The following is a 16,509-nucleotide window of genomic DNA, read 5'->3' on the forward strand; positions in this document are numbered from 1 at the left end:
GAGTGGAGCTGCCATGGTGGGATTAGTTACTTATGAAAGAAGCCCAGAGAGCTTCCTCACCCCTTATACCACGTGGAGACTTAGTGAGAAGGCACTGTCTATGAACCACGAAGAGAGTCCTCATCAGGAACTAAATGAGTCAGACCCTTGATCTTGGACTTGCCAGCTTCCAGAACCATGAGCAATACATTTCTATTGTTTATAAACCACTCAGTTTATGGTATTTTGTTATAGCAGCCTGAACAGAAGAAGACAGGGGCAAAAACTCTCTTCAGTGTGTGGAGCTGACCCTCCAGCTACAGAGAAAAGAGTGGGTCCCAGACTCACTGAGCACCCCTGAGGGGCAGTAGGCTGGGGCCCTACCTATGCTGCTTTATGCCAAGAGTGTACTTGAGACTACAGGGATGCACGAGGCTGTCTGATGCTGTGAACGGCAAAGTTGAGCTTTGTCTCATGAAGACCACCGGGCTGTGGGATGTGAATGTCCCGGAGCTAGGGAGTTCTTGCACCAGAGAAGGCTGGAAGTCAGTAGAATGGAGCCAGGTGGTGACACAGTAATAAAGGAAGGGGACAGATGCACGGAGCACTTCAGAGGTTGAGTGTATCATTCTTCAGCGCAAGTTGGACAGGAGCCATGAAGGGAGGGTAGCATGGATCTTTCTAGGACTCTCAGCCTGGGTGACTTGGAGAATAATTAACAATAATAACTACATGTGACTATTACTGAGTGCCTATGTGTGCCAAAGTAGTTGTACAGAATGCTTAGATAAAGAATTCTAATTTTAATCTTCGCAAATCCTCTAGGTGGGGAAGGCTGACAAAACAGTCTCAGGGAGGGTAGGTGTCCCGCCCAAATATCCAGGTGGGACTAGAATTCAGAGCCTCCACTCATGTTTGTCCACTCCTGTCACTCAGCAGGGGTGATGTTCCAGGCTTGAATCTGGGTGCAGAGATTCTGGGTTTCAGATCCAAGCTGGCAGTCCCGAGAATGACCCAGCAGGTGGCTTGAGAGGAGTGTGGAGCTCAGGAGGCAGCAGGTGCAGCAGAAAGGGGACTGGAGGACCATGAATGTGTCCCAGTGGAGAACATGGCAGAGGCAAGGGAGGAGGCGGTGAAGGGACCTTGGAGGAGCTGTGCAAACACAGACTGCTACCTGGTCCCCTCTGCTACCTTCCTGACCTCCCCTCCCCTCTTTTTCAAACCATTTTGTCTCTCCTTTCTCTCCATTTCAAGCTACTAATTTCCTTAAATAAACTGTAGCTTAGACATAACATTTCACCAGTGAAAATTAAGCACAAAAACTCCACCTGATTTTTTTTCTTTTAAGAACTATCCAGATCTAAGCAAAACTGGAGCTTTGATTTATAAAATCACTCTCCCGGGCACACAGAAGGAAAGATGCAAATGAAAGCTACTGTTTGTAGTGAACATGCTGAGTACATGACTACAGTGTTCCTTCAGCCAGGCGGGATGCAGCTGGCTGCAAACATTCACGAACCACTGGAAGGGAAGACAGGCAGAACAAAGGGCTGAGGCATGGGGCGAAGTCTGATGTCTTCATTCCCTCTCCCACAAGAAGCAATCGCTGGCGAGTGCCGCGGGCCTTTGCAAGACAGGAACAGGCCAGGGATCCAGGAGGGCGCAGGAATTTGGAAAGTAGTTAATATCAATTTTTTCATTATATGCTACTTTCCCTAAAGCAGAGCTGCCTCAATGTGCTTTGGGGTCCTCAACTCCCTTGGCTATTTAATATAAGAACCCTACATTGAAATTTGGGTGGGAAAAACACTGAACTACACGAAGAGAAGTTACATAAGATTGGCAAAGTGAGCAGCACAAATTGATAAGCAGCTTAGATGGGGCCCGCCAATCAGCTGACGTCCTCCAGGGTCTCCAGGTGACCTGGGTTCTTCTAGGTTCACGGTGGGAGCTGGAAATGTTCCTGCCCAAAGAGATTCGGAAGCAATTATGGGAAAAGTCCTCGGGGAGCCGAGGGCATGCTCATGGGGTTCAGGAACACCCCACTCACCCCCTTTACTCTTCATTGTCCCAACTTCAGCAAAAGCTCAGGTTTTCTTTAGCTGGAGCCAGGGCCAGGGCAGGTGGGAACCAGCCAAGCACCACCCCCACCTCCACAGCCCTGGGCTTCTCACTCCTCCATTCAATTTCTGTGCAGCGACTAATTACACTTGACTAGTTGCCAAACATCCTATTTTGGTGCCTGAGCTCATATGACTGAGCTGTGATAACAAGGCTGTCTTTTTTCACACCAACTGAGTCATGAATAATGATCTTATATAGATATTTTTGGTGTGGGTCAGAATTTTGTTCTGTTTCTAAATGTTCCATTTTTCTTCCTTTTAAAACCAGAGTGAGGCTTGAATGGTAGGCAGCTAAGCCTTCCTGAAAAAGGGTCAGAGACAGCTTTGATGCCAGGGTCTGCGGTCCCCCCTGGGAGCCAGGGCATCCCTCTCCTCACTCTTTTCCCTCCTCCAAACACAAACTTCCTACAAAACCAATTTTATGTGCCAGATGTTCCCCAATGCTGCAAATCTCGGTTCTGTGAGTGACATTGATTGAAAGACATGATATCAATCACAACATTTATTAAGTATGTAAAGGAGTAAGCAGCACTAAATTAATAACTTCTGAGACCTTGGGGCCCCAAAATAGCCAGCAGATAGGCCTCGGGGAAGAGCAAATGAATCAATGTGATCAATTATTTGTCATTTACTATTTAAATAAGCCCCGGGGATAACATTAACATTGCAGTCAAAGTTGCATAAGCCTCTCAGTAATATCTGGAGTTATTATTTTGGGAGAAGGTCAGTCTTTTATTCACGCCAAACTTCTAAATTCGAATTATAGATGGCACTTGATCCATAGGAAAGGAAGCGGAGTGAGGATGCTGGAGGAGGGAAGGGTGCCCAAGAGGCAGCGGACAGGAGGGAAGGAGGCTAGGCTGCCTGGAGTGTGTGCTCCACAGCCTGAGGGTGAAGAAACTGCTGGGTAGAAATGAAGCCTTCCAATGTGTGACTTGGCGAAGGTGGATATTTGAACACAGTCTACGGTTGACTGAGCAGCTCAGATTGTTCTAGGGAAGCTTTTCAGAAAGCGTATGAGCCTTTTTTAGTATTATTTTTAAAGAATCGGGTTGTTAATGGCAACCATTGAAAGGATGATTGAATAACTGCATGATGCAAGCAGTGTGCCGCCGGGCCTGGAAATGAAATGGGAGCGTCTCCATGGCTGTAGAGGTGGCATTCCAACCTCTCGTGTGTGTGTGTGTGTGTGTGTGTGTGTGTGTGTGTGTGTGTGTGTCTGTGAACATCGGTCAGGCCCTTCTCCCCTCTTCCAACCTCAGTGACTGAGAAAGAAGTACGGCTCCTATGGACAGGTTACCCCTAGGGCTCCAGTGTCCTACTCGTGGGGATGTTTTGCAACCCCCAAGAGAAGCACCCTTTGGATAAATATTTGTGAGCATTGAAATAATCTTCAAAACGTGTCCTTTTTTCCCCCCAGCCCTCTCTAGTTGAGGGCATAACATTCAAGTCCTTTTGCCATCTCACCTAACCTTGTATTCAGCTTAGCAGCAGTGTGTGCTTTGGGTAGAAGCTCACACAGGGGGATCTCCAAGAGCTGATGAAGCAATCAATCATTTGGCTTCCAGAGTTCTCTTCCAGTGCTGGGGAGAATCGGCAATCCCCCCTTTCCCTGCAGAAAGAACATGGTGCTCTGAGTTCCTGGGCCATCGTTCTCCCTGGAGGGGCTGCTGAAGCCACAATGCTCTGTTCAGTCTTCTCAAGAATTGGCAAGAAAGAGCCTTGTGCATTGAAGGCCACTGAGGTCATGTCCTCCTGGGTCTGCAGGGCTTTCCTCAGGAGACAGGACTTTTCCAAAGCCTTGGACCCATTCTCCAAGGTAAGCAAAAGCAGCAGAAAGAACCAGAAAATGAACCAGCAACTTGGGGCTGACATCCAGGAGTCCCCAGGTGAACAGGGAAAACTCCCTCCCAGCCTGCCTCTCTATCACGTGGTGTGTCACCTGCTCTGCTGGTTTCTTGGTCTTCTTTGGATTGGGAATGCATTTGAGGAGCTGGAGAAAGCACAGTCCTGCTTGACTGCTGCCCCTAGACAAACTCAAAGGATTCCACAGTCATGTCCACGGCACCTTGGAAACTTCTAGGGCAGCACAGCCCCCTGGAATGCTCCAGGGTGATGGGAACATTCTATGCCTCTATTGCCCAGTGCGGAAGCTACCAGCCACATGTGGCTATGAGCACTTGCAGTATGGCCAGTGTGGCTGAAACACTGACTTTCCAATGGTATTTAATTCGGAATCCTGGATTCAGGTCAGTGACCTTTGGCAAATGAAGAATGACAGTAGGTTCTTACGTGTTCACCCAACGGCACGTTGACCTTCACTTTCAGCTTAGGGGCTGGGAGCAGGTGGGCTTAACAAAGGAGTGTGCAGAGTGAGGGTCAGGGATGATGCAGGCAGCCATGTTTGTGCAGCATCTCATCCCTGTCCCTGTCACTATCACCATCATCAAAGCAGCCCCAAGTTCTAACTAGCCCCTGGGCGGAGTCTTCATCTCTGGGTCCTGATTTTCTATACAGGAAGCGGCTGGACACAAATTCATCTACATTTACACCTACTTGAAGGTGGGAACCAAAAAAAGCCAGACATTGCAGGCAGCCTGTCCATGCCCCTGACAGTGGTGATGGGGACTTGATCGGCTGTGCTTCCTTTTGGAGGCAGTCAGGGATGGGCATTGTGAACAAACAGGGCAAGGTCCTTTTTGAACAACACTGAAATTTTATGACCCCAGGTCCCCCCAGGAACTGCCTTTTCTTGGGCCTTTATGAGGAAGAGAGGGACTTCTCTTGTGAGCTTTTCTAGGAGATGTAACTATCTTTGAAAGGAAAACAATTATTTAAAAGGAAAATGCCTTTTACCAACGTCCAGCTCTAGAAGCCTATGAACTAATTACCATGGGAAACAGGCCCTCCAGGTGGCATTTTAGAACAAAGTTAGGAGTGACTGTCGCTGGCAGTTACCTATAGTGATGAAATGGGACAGTTCCCTTATCCCCCTTGCAGGACATCCGACAGGGGTGTGGCCCTCTCCTTCGGTCACTCGCTGCTCAAACCCCTAGGGGAAGCATGCAGATGGGCAGCTGCAGAGGCCGTGGGGAGCACTTCTGGACTCTGGCCCCACGGCAGCCTCTAGGGGTGGGTGTCTTTGACTCCCAAAGCCCAAGTGGGCATGTGTTACCAAGCCCTTTTAGATTTGCTGTTTGCAGACAGCTTGTGTGTTAATCAGCTCAATGAACCCTCTGCCTTATCCCAAGAGCAAGGCCAGTGTGACAGGCTTCTGTATTCTGAGTTCTTGCCCAACGTATTGAAAAATTGGATCACATGTAAGCTTGAGGGATGAGTGCGAGGTTTTACTGAGCGGTGGAGGTGGCTCTCCGAGAGACGGATGGGGAGCAGGAAGTGGGGGATGGAGTGGGAAGGTGGTCTTCCCCTGGAGTTGGGCCGCCCAGCAGCTGTATTCTTCTCCCACCGCCCTCGGCTGAACTCTCCTTGGCGTCTGGACGTCCTTCCCCATCCCTCTTTCTCTGCCATGTTGTTCCGTTGTCACTCGCCTGCTGGTTCTGACGTTCAGCCGTTTGTGTGTGTGTCCGCTAAGGTCTCGGGTCTATATGGGGGAAGGATGGGGAGTGTGGCAGGCCAAAAAGCAAATTTTTGGGTGCAAAAACTGAAGTGCCTGTCCTCATTTAGGGCTGTGGCTCTTCAGGCTTGAGGGTGGGGCTTTTGCCTGGGAACTGCCCTCTTCTACCCAGTATTTCCCTGTCCCCTGTCCATATCAGTGACACCTGCCTCCATGTGATGTGTCTGTCCTTCTTGAACAGAGCTTTCAGCCCTGCATCCCAACAGACATTTCAGAGGTCTGTTCTCCCAACACAGCCCCTCCTCTCCTTGCCAGGGCACTCAGTGTCTCTGCTCTTGAGGTCAAAAGCCAAGAACCCAATTCAGAGGACACTCTGCTGTGATGTCTCCCAGGGCTGCTCCTGCTGGTGGGAGCCTCACCCCCCTGGGACCAGCCCCAGAACCCCAATACCTTCACACAGCCCTTTCCCTCCATGGGTGTCGCTGGCCCTAAAACTACTGCCACGTGTGGCTCCTGAGTCTTTTCATGGGGGTCAGAACATTTCCGCCATGTAGCTGCCTCTCCAGAGCCAGGGACAGCCTGTCCTCTGATTGGGGGTCACCATGGGCCACCCCTGGAGCTCGTCTTTGTGTTGCCAGCACCAGGCGGCACCTTCCACTGTACTCTGGGCTTTTGGGTCCCTCCACAAAGCGACATCTTGATTCTACCCTCTCCCGTGCCTCCTGCTAAGAGCGTCAGCCTTTCAGATTGGGTGGGATTGTTGGGGATGGTGGAGGCTTAAGGCAGCGAAGAAACATGGGCCTTAAATGGGAGTTTGGAGGGGCTAAGAAGGACTTAGAGGCCCTGGAGACCCCAGATTCCAGCTCTGCCTACTTGACCATGGGGCAAACCCATCCACTGGGTCTACTAAGAGCCCCTCCCTCCCGGCACTGTGGGGAGAGCTGAGGAGTTGATCTGTAAAAGCCCTCAGCCCTGCTGTGTTTGGAAAAAACTCTCCCCAGATCTGAGTGCCACATTTATCTTTTATTTTTCCACAGGTGATCAGAGTGGTGGAACTTCCTTCTTCATTTCCCCTGCCCCTAAGTCTACACTAGAGTAACCCCTTGAAGATTCCTCACAAATAAACACCTGCCCAACCTTGACAGTGAGGTTCACCCTTGTGTTTGTTGGTTATCCCACCTGGGAAGGGACCCTTCCCTCCTGTGGCGGGGGGCAAAATGGAACTCAGTTTGCCTCCTCTTTGGGGGAAGGGAGTGGATAAGAGGATCATGGAAGTACATGTGAATTAATTAAATTAAATTAAATTCAGATTTTAATTAAATTTAATTCACATTTTAAACTAATTAAATTAAGTCACATTAAAGTCAAATTTTATTCAGCCAAATTTCTCTTAGAATAAACTCAATCTTTTTTGAGGTCAGTTTTAAGATGATCAACTATTGGCCAAGTATTTGTTGACTTCCTCAACTGTTAACAATACTCTTCTAAGGTGTTGAGATGCAAAATAAGCTGTATTTTACCTCCAGCTGACAGGAGGATGAGTTCTCCCTTCCTTTCCTTTTATTTTTTCCCCTCTGAGACAAGGTCTTGCTCTGTTGCCCAGGCTGGCATATAGTGGTGCGATAGTAGCTCACTGCAGCCTCAAATTCCTGGGCTCAATCGATCTTCCTGCCTCAGTCTTTTGAGTAGCTATGACTACAGGTATGTGCCACCATATATGGCTAATTTTATTTTACTGTAGAGACAGGATTCTTGCTGTGTTGCCCAGGCTGGTCTTAAGCTCCTGGCCTCAAGCAATTCTCCTGCCTCAGCCTCCCAAAGTGCTGGGGTTACAGACGTGAGCCACTGTGCACAGCCCTTTCCTTTTTCTTGAAGATGACATAGCTAGGCCAAGGAGCCAAGGTTTAATTAAATGCAAGAAGTAAATCCAGAACAACGTAAGATGTCCAATTGTGTGATGGCGTGGAGTCTGTTTCCCACAGCGCAGCAGTAACCCCATCCCTGGGGCATCTGGGCACAGCTGGTGCACAGCAGGGACAAGACAAGCAGGGTGGTCTAGAGAGTATGGCCTTCTCCCTGGGAGGCTGTACCCAGTGACCAAGACCAGCTCTGGTTCCTGGGCCTGGGCCTCATGAAGTGGCCCTGCTTCTTGGGGGAACTTACACTGTCTCAGATTCTGGGCCCTAGGCTGACCTTTCTCTCACTTTGGAATTTGGTCCAGAGTTTGAAATTGGCATGATGTGAATGGAATATGAAAGTCTCCTGCAATTCAGCCATATAAGAAGGAGAAAAAGAAAAGAAACAAATGAAAACTTCCTCATAATCCTCATTCCTTAAATTTGGGCTGCACATAGCAGTGACTTTCTACCAGACACTGTGGTATGGAAAAGGGGAAGAGTCACTGCCTGGTGGAGAAACCTGACAAACACTCCTCCACCAGGGAAGCATTAGGGTCACCACAACAGTGATGCCTCAGGTGCCCTGGGTCTGATGCGATGAGAATAGCAACTTCACCTCTGGGGTCTTCCTTCCCTAAGACTCATAACCCCAGTCCAATCATGAGAAGATCATCAGACATCAGACTAGAGGGACATTCTATAAATGCATGTCCAGTCCTCAAAACTGTCAAAGTCATAAAAAAACAAGGAAAGGCAGAGAAATATTGCTGAGCAGAGCCTGAGATGTGACGACCAATGGATGGGATCCTGGGAAGGTTAAAGGATATCAGGTAAAAGCTAAGGAAATCCAAGTAAGGTATAGATTTTAGTTGATGTATCGATATGGGTTTGTTAATTGTTACACATGTAGCACACTAATGCAAAATGCTAGCAATAATACGAAAAACTGGATGTGGTGTATATGGGAACTCTCCAAAATGTTTTTGAAATTTTTCTGTAAAGCTATAACTATTCTAAAATAAAAAGCTATTAAACATTTTCCCTCCTTTTATCAAGAATAGTCAAATTCATAGAGACAGAAAGTAGAAAGATGGTTGCCAGGGGCTAGGGAGTGGGCACCAGGAATTAAGGATTAATGAGGACAGAGTTCAGTTTTGCAAGAAAGAAAAGCAAAGCAAAGTCCTGTGGATAAATGCTGGTGCAGACTGCACAATAAAGGGAGTGTAAATGTTATTGAACTGCATACATAACGAAGGTTAAGGTAGTAAATTTTTTGTTATGTGTGTTTTACCATGAATAAACATCTTTTTAGGTTTTGACATTTGATTATTATTTTTTTTCTTTTTAAGTTCTGGCATATATGTGCAGAACGTGCAGGTTTGTTACATAGGTATACATGTGCCATGGTGGTTTGCTGCACCTATCAACCCGTCATCTAGGCTTTAAGCCCCGCATGCATTAGTTATTTGTCCTAATGCTTTCCCTCCCCTTTCTCCCAACCCCCAACAGGCCCCAGTGTGTGATGTTCCCCTCCCTGTGTCCATGTGTTCTCATTGTTCAATTCTCACTTATGAGTGAGAACATGCGGTGTTGGTTTTCTGTTCCTGTGTTAGTTTGGTGAGGCTGATGGTGAGACAGTGTGCTGATTCCTCAAGGATATAGAACCAGAAATACCATTTGAGCCAGCAATCCCATTACTGGGTATACGTCCAAAGGATTATAAATCATTCTACTATAAAGACACATGCACATGAAGGTTTATTGCAGCAGTATTTACCATAGCAAAGACTTGGAAACAGCCCAAATGCCCATCAATGATAGACTGGATAAAGAAAATGTGGCACATATACACCATAGAACACTATGCTGCCATAAAAAAGAGTGAATTCATGTCCCTTGCAGGGACATGGATGAGGCTGGAAACCATCATCCTCAGCAAGTAAACATTTTTTTAAAATGTCCCTCTTCAACTTGCCATTGCAGCCTTGGCCCCTAGCCCCCTAGTGTGTGCCATGGAGTATCTTGAAAGCCTGCCTACACCTGTCCTCCCAGCTTTGCATTCCTTTTGGGTCGTGCAGCTCAAGAGCAAGACTCTGCACTCAACACTGCCATGCCTTAGGAAAACATGTGTTGACCACACATCTCTACTCCCACTTCCCTGTGGACTCAACACCCAGTGGTTTCTGCCTGGTGCTGAACAGCTTCTCCCAGGCTCCTAAGGAGCCCCCAGTGGACAGATGTGTGGCTGTCAGCAGCTGATCAGAAGAGTCCTCTTGTAACACAATTGGGGAGAATAGATTTACTGCCTTTGTAAACATTTCTGATTCCTCCATGAACGTTTGCGAGCTGGGCGGATGGTGATGACTGATTAGTCGTGTGTGCTGGGCCCCCTGTCCTGGCATGGAAAACACACAGGTGCTGTCCTCCATGCAATTACCCTTCACTGCTTTCCAGCGGTGACTTATTTCCACCGATAGCGCTCCCCTGGCCGCCTTCCCTCCGGGTGACAGCTCTTCACCGTGTTATGTGGCAGACTTCCTCTGCGCATGATAAATAGTCCTCATTTTCTTCCCAACAGTCCCACAACCAATAAAAAGCAATAAAAAGTGAAATGACACACAAATTGCATCCCCAAAGGGCTGTAAAGGCCCAAGATGTTGCTGCATGCAATGATCAGATGAGATTCTTTGCCTTTAAACAAATAACCCTCATTAACAAAGAGAGATATTCAAATGAGGAGGAGACAGGGCCTTGGGGGGCCTGGGCAGGGCAAGGAAAGGTGAGTGGGCTGATGCCAGCCCACTTCCAGGTGCTGGAGGCTCCAAGTGCATGTAGAGCAGATCAGGACGCTTCTTTGGGATGATGGCAGATGACCCAGAGACACACCTGGCAATTTTGTGCCATAGCAAATGGCCATGTCATTGCTCTGGGTTTTGGGTTAGTGAAAATGATATTGCTGCAGCGTTTTAGAAGCCTCAGGAAGCACTGATCTCTGGTTTGTGTGTGCCATAATGATCAGATGTGACTGTCCCCTAGAATCTCCCCAGGAACCTTAACAAGAACAGATGCCCAGATCTTGGGCTTAGCGATTCTGATTCTGTTGCTTTTGGAGGATGCCAGCATCTCTGTTTTTAAAGGGAAGTGCCCCCAATATGCAACCAGGTTAAGAGCTCTGGGAAACCCAGGGTCCACACCCAGCATACTGGCAGAGCCTGGTAATGTTCAAAGTTCTCCATTCTCTAAAGTGATGGACTATCAGCTCCTCTCCCTCCTGGCACCCTACTCATGGGAACATGCAGGCTTTCCTGATTAACCAGAGAGGAGGAGGAGGGAGGAGAAAGCAGTGAATTCTGCCCAACTACCTATACCAGTTTAACTTCCTCCTACCTACTGAGTGCCAGGTACCTGCTCAGTCCCCCTTCACACCAGCCCTGTGTGGCATCACTGTCCTCTTGGTAAAGATGAGGAATTAGGGCAGCAGCAGGAACCCAGGCTGCTCCCCACCCCTGCAGACCACACCTGGTTTGGAATTGGGGTCAATGATTGGGTATGAGTGGATGCTGATGGGAGATGCTAGAACAGTCTACAGAGCTGGGCATTTGCAGAGTGAGCAGCCAGGGAGGCTTCCAATGAGAGCCAGGCGTGGAGGTGGCTCTTGGAGGCTCTCTGTGCACCCATAGGTGGGCTGGCTGGAGGAAATAACATGCTAGAAAGTGTAGTGTTTGAGATAACAGTTAGGAAATACCAAGTTGACAAGTGGAGTCACCACAGTTGGTTTTAAATGTGAACAATGTCTTGCCTTTACCAATATCTTATCTTTGACAAAACGCTTTTCTAGAGTGAGGGGCCTGAGTGTGCATTAGCATAGGAGGATCCCTACTTCACCTCTAATCTTTCAGAGGGAAAAGAGTACGGTAGGCTTTTGAGCTATAGGACACACATCAGCCCCAAGCAAGCACCGAAAAGAGCAGGTGTGGTTGCCACCTCTGGTGTGCCCCGCCCTCTCTGGGACGCTCATTTTCCTTCTGTGAGCTGCAAGCAGGGTCCATTGTCCTGGGTTTGGAGATGGCTGCATTTGCACCATTAGAGGTGGTCTTGCCTGGAGTCCTTTGCTCGCACCCACACTGGCACTTATGGCTGCATCTCCTGCCTGCCAGACAAGTCTATCATCCCCAGGAGGCACAGAATCATCACTCACTGTCACCCCAGCAGGGCCCCAAGGGGCCAAACAGGCAGGGGCCTCTAAGCAGAACCAGGGAAACCCAACACATGTTGGTGAAAGGCAGATCCTAAAAGTAACCCCAGAGAGACTTTGGCTGCCAGCTGCTTCCGAGGGAGTCATGGTCGTGCCTTCTGACCTGTCCAGGCCCCAGGATCAGTTGAGCCAGACGCCCAGCATTACGGTGACTCTGACAGCAAATCCACGTAATTCCCTAGGCCAGGAGAGAGACAGGAATATTTTGAAATTCCAAGCAGGGTTGAAACAAAAAGACAGTTCTGGGTATTTATTTTTTATTTTTGAGACAAAGTCTCACTCTGTTGCCCAGGCTGGAGTGCAGTGACATAATCTCAGCTCACTGCAACTTTTGCCTCCCGGGTTCAAGCAATTCTCCCACCTCAGCCTCCCAAGTAGCTGGGATTACAGGTGTGCGCCGCCACACCTGGCTAATTTTTGTATTTTTGTAGAGACAGGGTTTTTACCATGTTGCCCAGACTGCTCTTGAACTCCTAGGTTCAAACTATCTGCCCACCGTGGCCTCCCAAAGTGCTGGGATTACAGGCTTGAGCCACTGCGCCTGGGCCTTGGTATTTCAGCTGACAAGGATCCCGCTTAACCAGGGTCCCTGGAACCCAGGCATCGGGTTGAGTGAGGTTTTACTCCCCACGGGCCAGAGAGAGAAGCCAGGGAAGACTAGAGTCCAGCAAGCATCACGTGGCCTCACTGGTGTGTTGAACACTTGGCAGTCACTAATATTTCAGCCTTAATCATGAAAGCTGGACTTTTAGATGGGTATCAGGCCACCTGGGGTGTCCTAGCTGAGAACATGAAAACAGATGTGAGGACCGTGAGGACAAAACAAGGCTGAAACAGTGAAAACGTCTGACACCAGTGAGGGCTATGGTCGAGTCACGCCACTTTCATCTGGGTGACTTTAAAGTTCCCCTTTAACAGGACCGTAGACGGCAGGGATTCCACCGTGCGTAGTGTGGATGCGCCAAAATCGGGATGCCGCTGGCGGGCGTCAGCAATGGGTTAGGCTATTTCTGGTGCAGACCAGCTGGTTCTCCCAGCCTACCCCTGTGACGTGGGCTCTGCTACCTTCCCTGTCAACATCATCAGCGGAGGCTTTGTATAATTTACTCATTCATTCAGTAAGCATTTACATATCTCGGTAACATTTCCTCATTGGATTTAAATTGCTGGAGATTGTTGTCTCCGTTGGTGGGCCCGTAAGGAGACTAAAACAGACTCTGTCCCATTTTACGGCTAGTGGGCAGAATGGGAGGAGGCCACCCATCCACAACAGGGAGAGAAGTGGGCTGTTTACGGAGTCATTATGATGAGCCCTGCACAGTGGCAGGCAGGTGCCCTGCGGTTTTGAATGTTTTGCTCCACCCTGTCGGGTGGGTGTTATTTCTTCCCATGGCAGGTGGAGATATGGAGATGGGAAAGGTGGAGCAATCTGCCCAGTCAGGACTCTGACTTTGCTCCCTTTCTTCCCATATATGAGGTTGCCCCTGTGCTACACACACACACACTGTAGACAGGAAACACCCTATGGGTGCTGTAGGAATGCTGGCAGAGCCCAAAGAGCTCACCTGTAGATCAGCACAGCCTGGAGATAAGGCACAGTTAGGGCATGAGCTGGCTCGGAGAGGATGGGCAGGGTTCAGACAGCAGAAGAGACATTTCTGCTGTCCAAGCATCAGGCACCTTGCCATTCTGTCCACAATGGGAAGGCCGGAAGGGAATTGCCGAGCAGGAAGAGAATCGCGTTCTCATTGTAGCCAGAATGGCAAGACTCAAAAGAGAGTTGGGAGAATGTGGGCCATCATTACAGAATGGCACGTGGCCTGGAGTCCACCTCGCATGCAGGGAAAGAGCAGAGAGCAAGATACAGAGCCCTCGGGGTCATTCTGCACAGTTCAGGTGCCCTTTGGGGAGCCTGTGTCCTGGAGAGGGCAGATCACCGTGCATGCATCCATGCTGTACAGGTTTATAAGATCCAGACATGGCTCTTCTGCAGAGGCACCAGCCCCTGAGGTGGCTGAGACCCCAGGTCCCAATTCCTGCTGCTGTGCCCTTTGCTTGATAGATCACTCTCCACAGAGCTTCCCACGGAACCCACCGTCTCGCCTCACCCAGGACTTCACACTTGCTCTTCCTCCTTCCCAGAATGTTCTTTCCCTGAATCTTAACACAGCTGGCACCTCTCATCTTTCCCCTCCTCAGACAGGACTGGCCTGCCCACCCCCACCTAAGGCACGTACTTTGTGTCACAACAGCCTTTTTAAGTTTACCTGTGTCTCATCTAATAATCATCTCACTATTGTTTTAACTTGTATTCCTGGATGCCTGGGGATGCTGCCCAGCCATGCATGTGTTTATTGGCTGCCTGGAACTCCTCCACCGTGGCTTGCCTGTTGACAGTCTTTGCCCGTTTTAATGTTGGGTTGTCTTTTTCTTATGATTTGTAGAATTTCTTCATGCATTATGAAAAGTATTACTATATCTTATAATCACCAGTCTCCTCCCCTAATAGTTATTTCTTTTATTTATGATGCCTTTTGTCTGTGGTCACCAGCCATACAGAAGTTATAGTTAGATACAGTCAACTGTGATAACCTTTTCCCATGTGATTTCTGCTTTGGTCTTGTTTAAGAAATCCTTTCTGATGTGGTATGCTGAAGGTGGCCTATCATTTCTTCCGATGTGGTATGCTGAAGGTTTATTTTCCATGTTTGGTTTCAAATTCACTTAGGGCTTATTTCTGTACATGAGGTAAGCATCTATTGTATTTTCTTTCCATATGGCTGGACATTTGTCCCTGCACAATTTATTGAATGGTCCCACAGATTTGTAATGCCTTCCATATCAGTTAGGATAAAGATCTACTGTGAGAAACACAAAGCCCCAAGATAAATGGCTGAAACTAGATAGAAGTGTATTTCTCGCTCATGTGTGAATCTGGGGCAGCCTTTCTTGGGCCAGTCTGCTGGCTCTGCCAGGAATCCAAGCTCCTTAATTCCTAGGGCATGACTGGAACCTTCATGGTCCAAGATGAAGTTCTCACCAACCCCTGAGTTTCCAGGTAGCATCATGGAGAGAAAGAGGGAAGGAGGGTCAAGGACAGGTATCAGCTGTATGTATTCTAAGCCACCGTCCAGCATTTCTACTTCTTCTTTTAGCCAGACTTTTTTTTTTTGCAAAGGATTTGGAAATTCTAAGTAGCCCATTCTCAGACTTAGAGTGGACATCCAGCAGTCTCTACCACATCTTCCGTATCTTATGCCAAAGTTATATATATGCAAATATATATTTCTGGATTTTTAATTCTGTTCTGCATATCTAGTTGCCTATTCAAATACGATAGCCCTTAATTACCATGGATACATCTTGACAGATAGAGCAATCTATCTATAGACAGTGATGTGTCTTGGATATTTGTCCCACCCAAATCTTATGTTGAAATGTAACCCCCAATGTTGGAGATGGGGCCTGGTGGGAGGTGTTTGGGTCACGGGGGCGGATCCCTTATGGCTTGATGAGTTCTTTGAGATCTGGTTATTTAAAAGTATGTGGTACCTCCCCCTACCTCACTCTCTTGCTCTCTCCCTTGCCACGTGAGACGCCTGCTTCCCTTCGCCTTCTGCCATGATGAAAGCTTCTTGAGGCCTCCGCAGAAGCCGAGCAGATGCCAGCACCATGCTTCCTGTAAAGCCTGCAGAACCATGAGCCAATTAAACTTCTTTTCTTTATAAATTACCCAGCCTCAAGTATTTCTTTATAGCAGAGCAAGAATGACCTAACATAGATAGAATGGTGGAGATGAGCATCTACCACTTTCTGTCTTCCCCCCCGCATCTTCCTGGTTCTTCTTTTCCTCTTCCATATGAATTTTAGTGAGAATTGGTGTATCAAGTACGACAGCACTTTTGATTGTGAATTTTATTGAATTTCATTGAAATTATAGATACATTTGGGGAAGTATTGACTTATTTATGGTATTACCCCTTCTACCTATGAAGACAGTAAATCACTCCATTTATTCAGTCTTCTTTTATGTCCTTCAATAATATTTTATAACTCTCTTTTCTAGCTCATCTTTCCTTAGATTTATTCCTGGGTAACTTACAGTTTTTGTGGTTTGGGTAAATCTTTTTTTTTTTTTCTATTACACTTTTGGACGGGCTTTTCTTAACATACAGAACGACTTCTGATTTTTGTATATTGATTTTGAATCTAGATTCACTTACTAGTTTTAATAGGTAGTAGAATGTCTTTGGAATTTCTCTGTTGACAGTCTATTCATCTGCAAACCACGTCATTTTGCCTTTTTATCCCAATCCACATTCTGTCAGTTCTGTTCCTTACATTGAATTGGCCAGCACCCGCAGAAAAGTATCAGGAAGGCACTATGATAGCAGTATTCTAGAAAGTTCCTGATGTCCTTATCGTTTCGTGACTCTAAAGTTTCGTCATGAAACTCAGTGTTTGCTTTTTCTCCTTCTCCTCAGCACCTTTTCCCCTCCCCTTCCTCCTCCTCTTCCTTTTGTGTTACTCTTTATCAAATAAAGGATGTCTTTGTCTTTTCTCTCTCGTTTCGGATTTCCTAGGAGGTTTCTGGTTTGTCAGCATTCTGTTTTGTTTGCTTCTCTTACCGGCCGCAAATCTGTACAGTTCTGCAGCAACCTCAATTCTTGCCTCCTCAGA

The sequence above is a fragment of the Homo sapiens genome, chromosome 1, assembly GCF_000001405.40.
Source record: "Homo sapiens chromosome 1, GRCh38.p14 Primary Assembly".
Taxonomy (NCBI): Eukaryota; Metazoa; Chordata; class Mammalia; order Primates; family Hominidae; genus Homo; species Homo sapiens.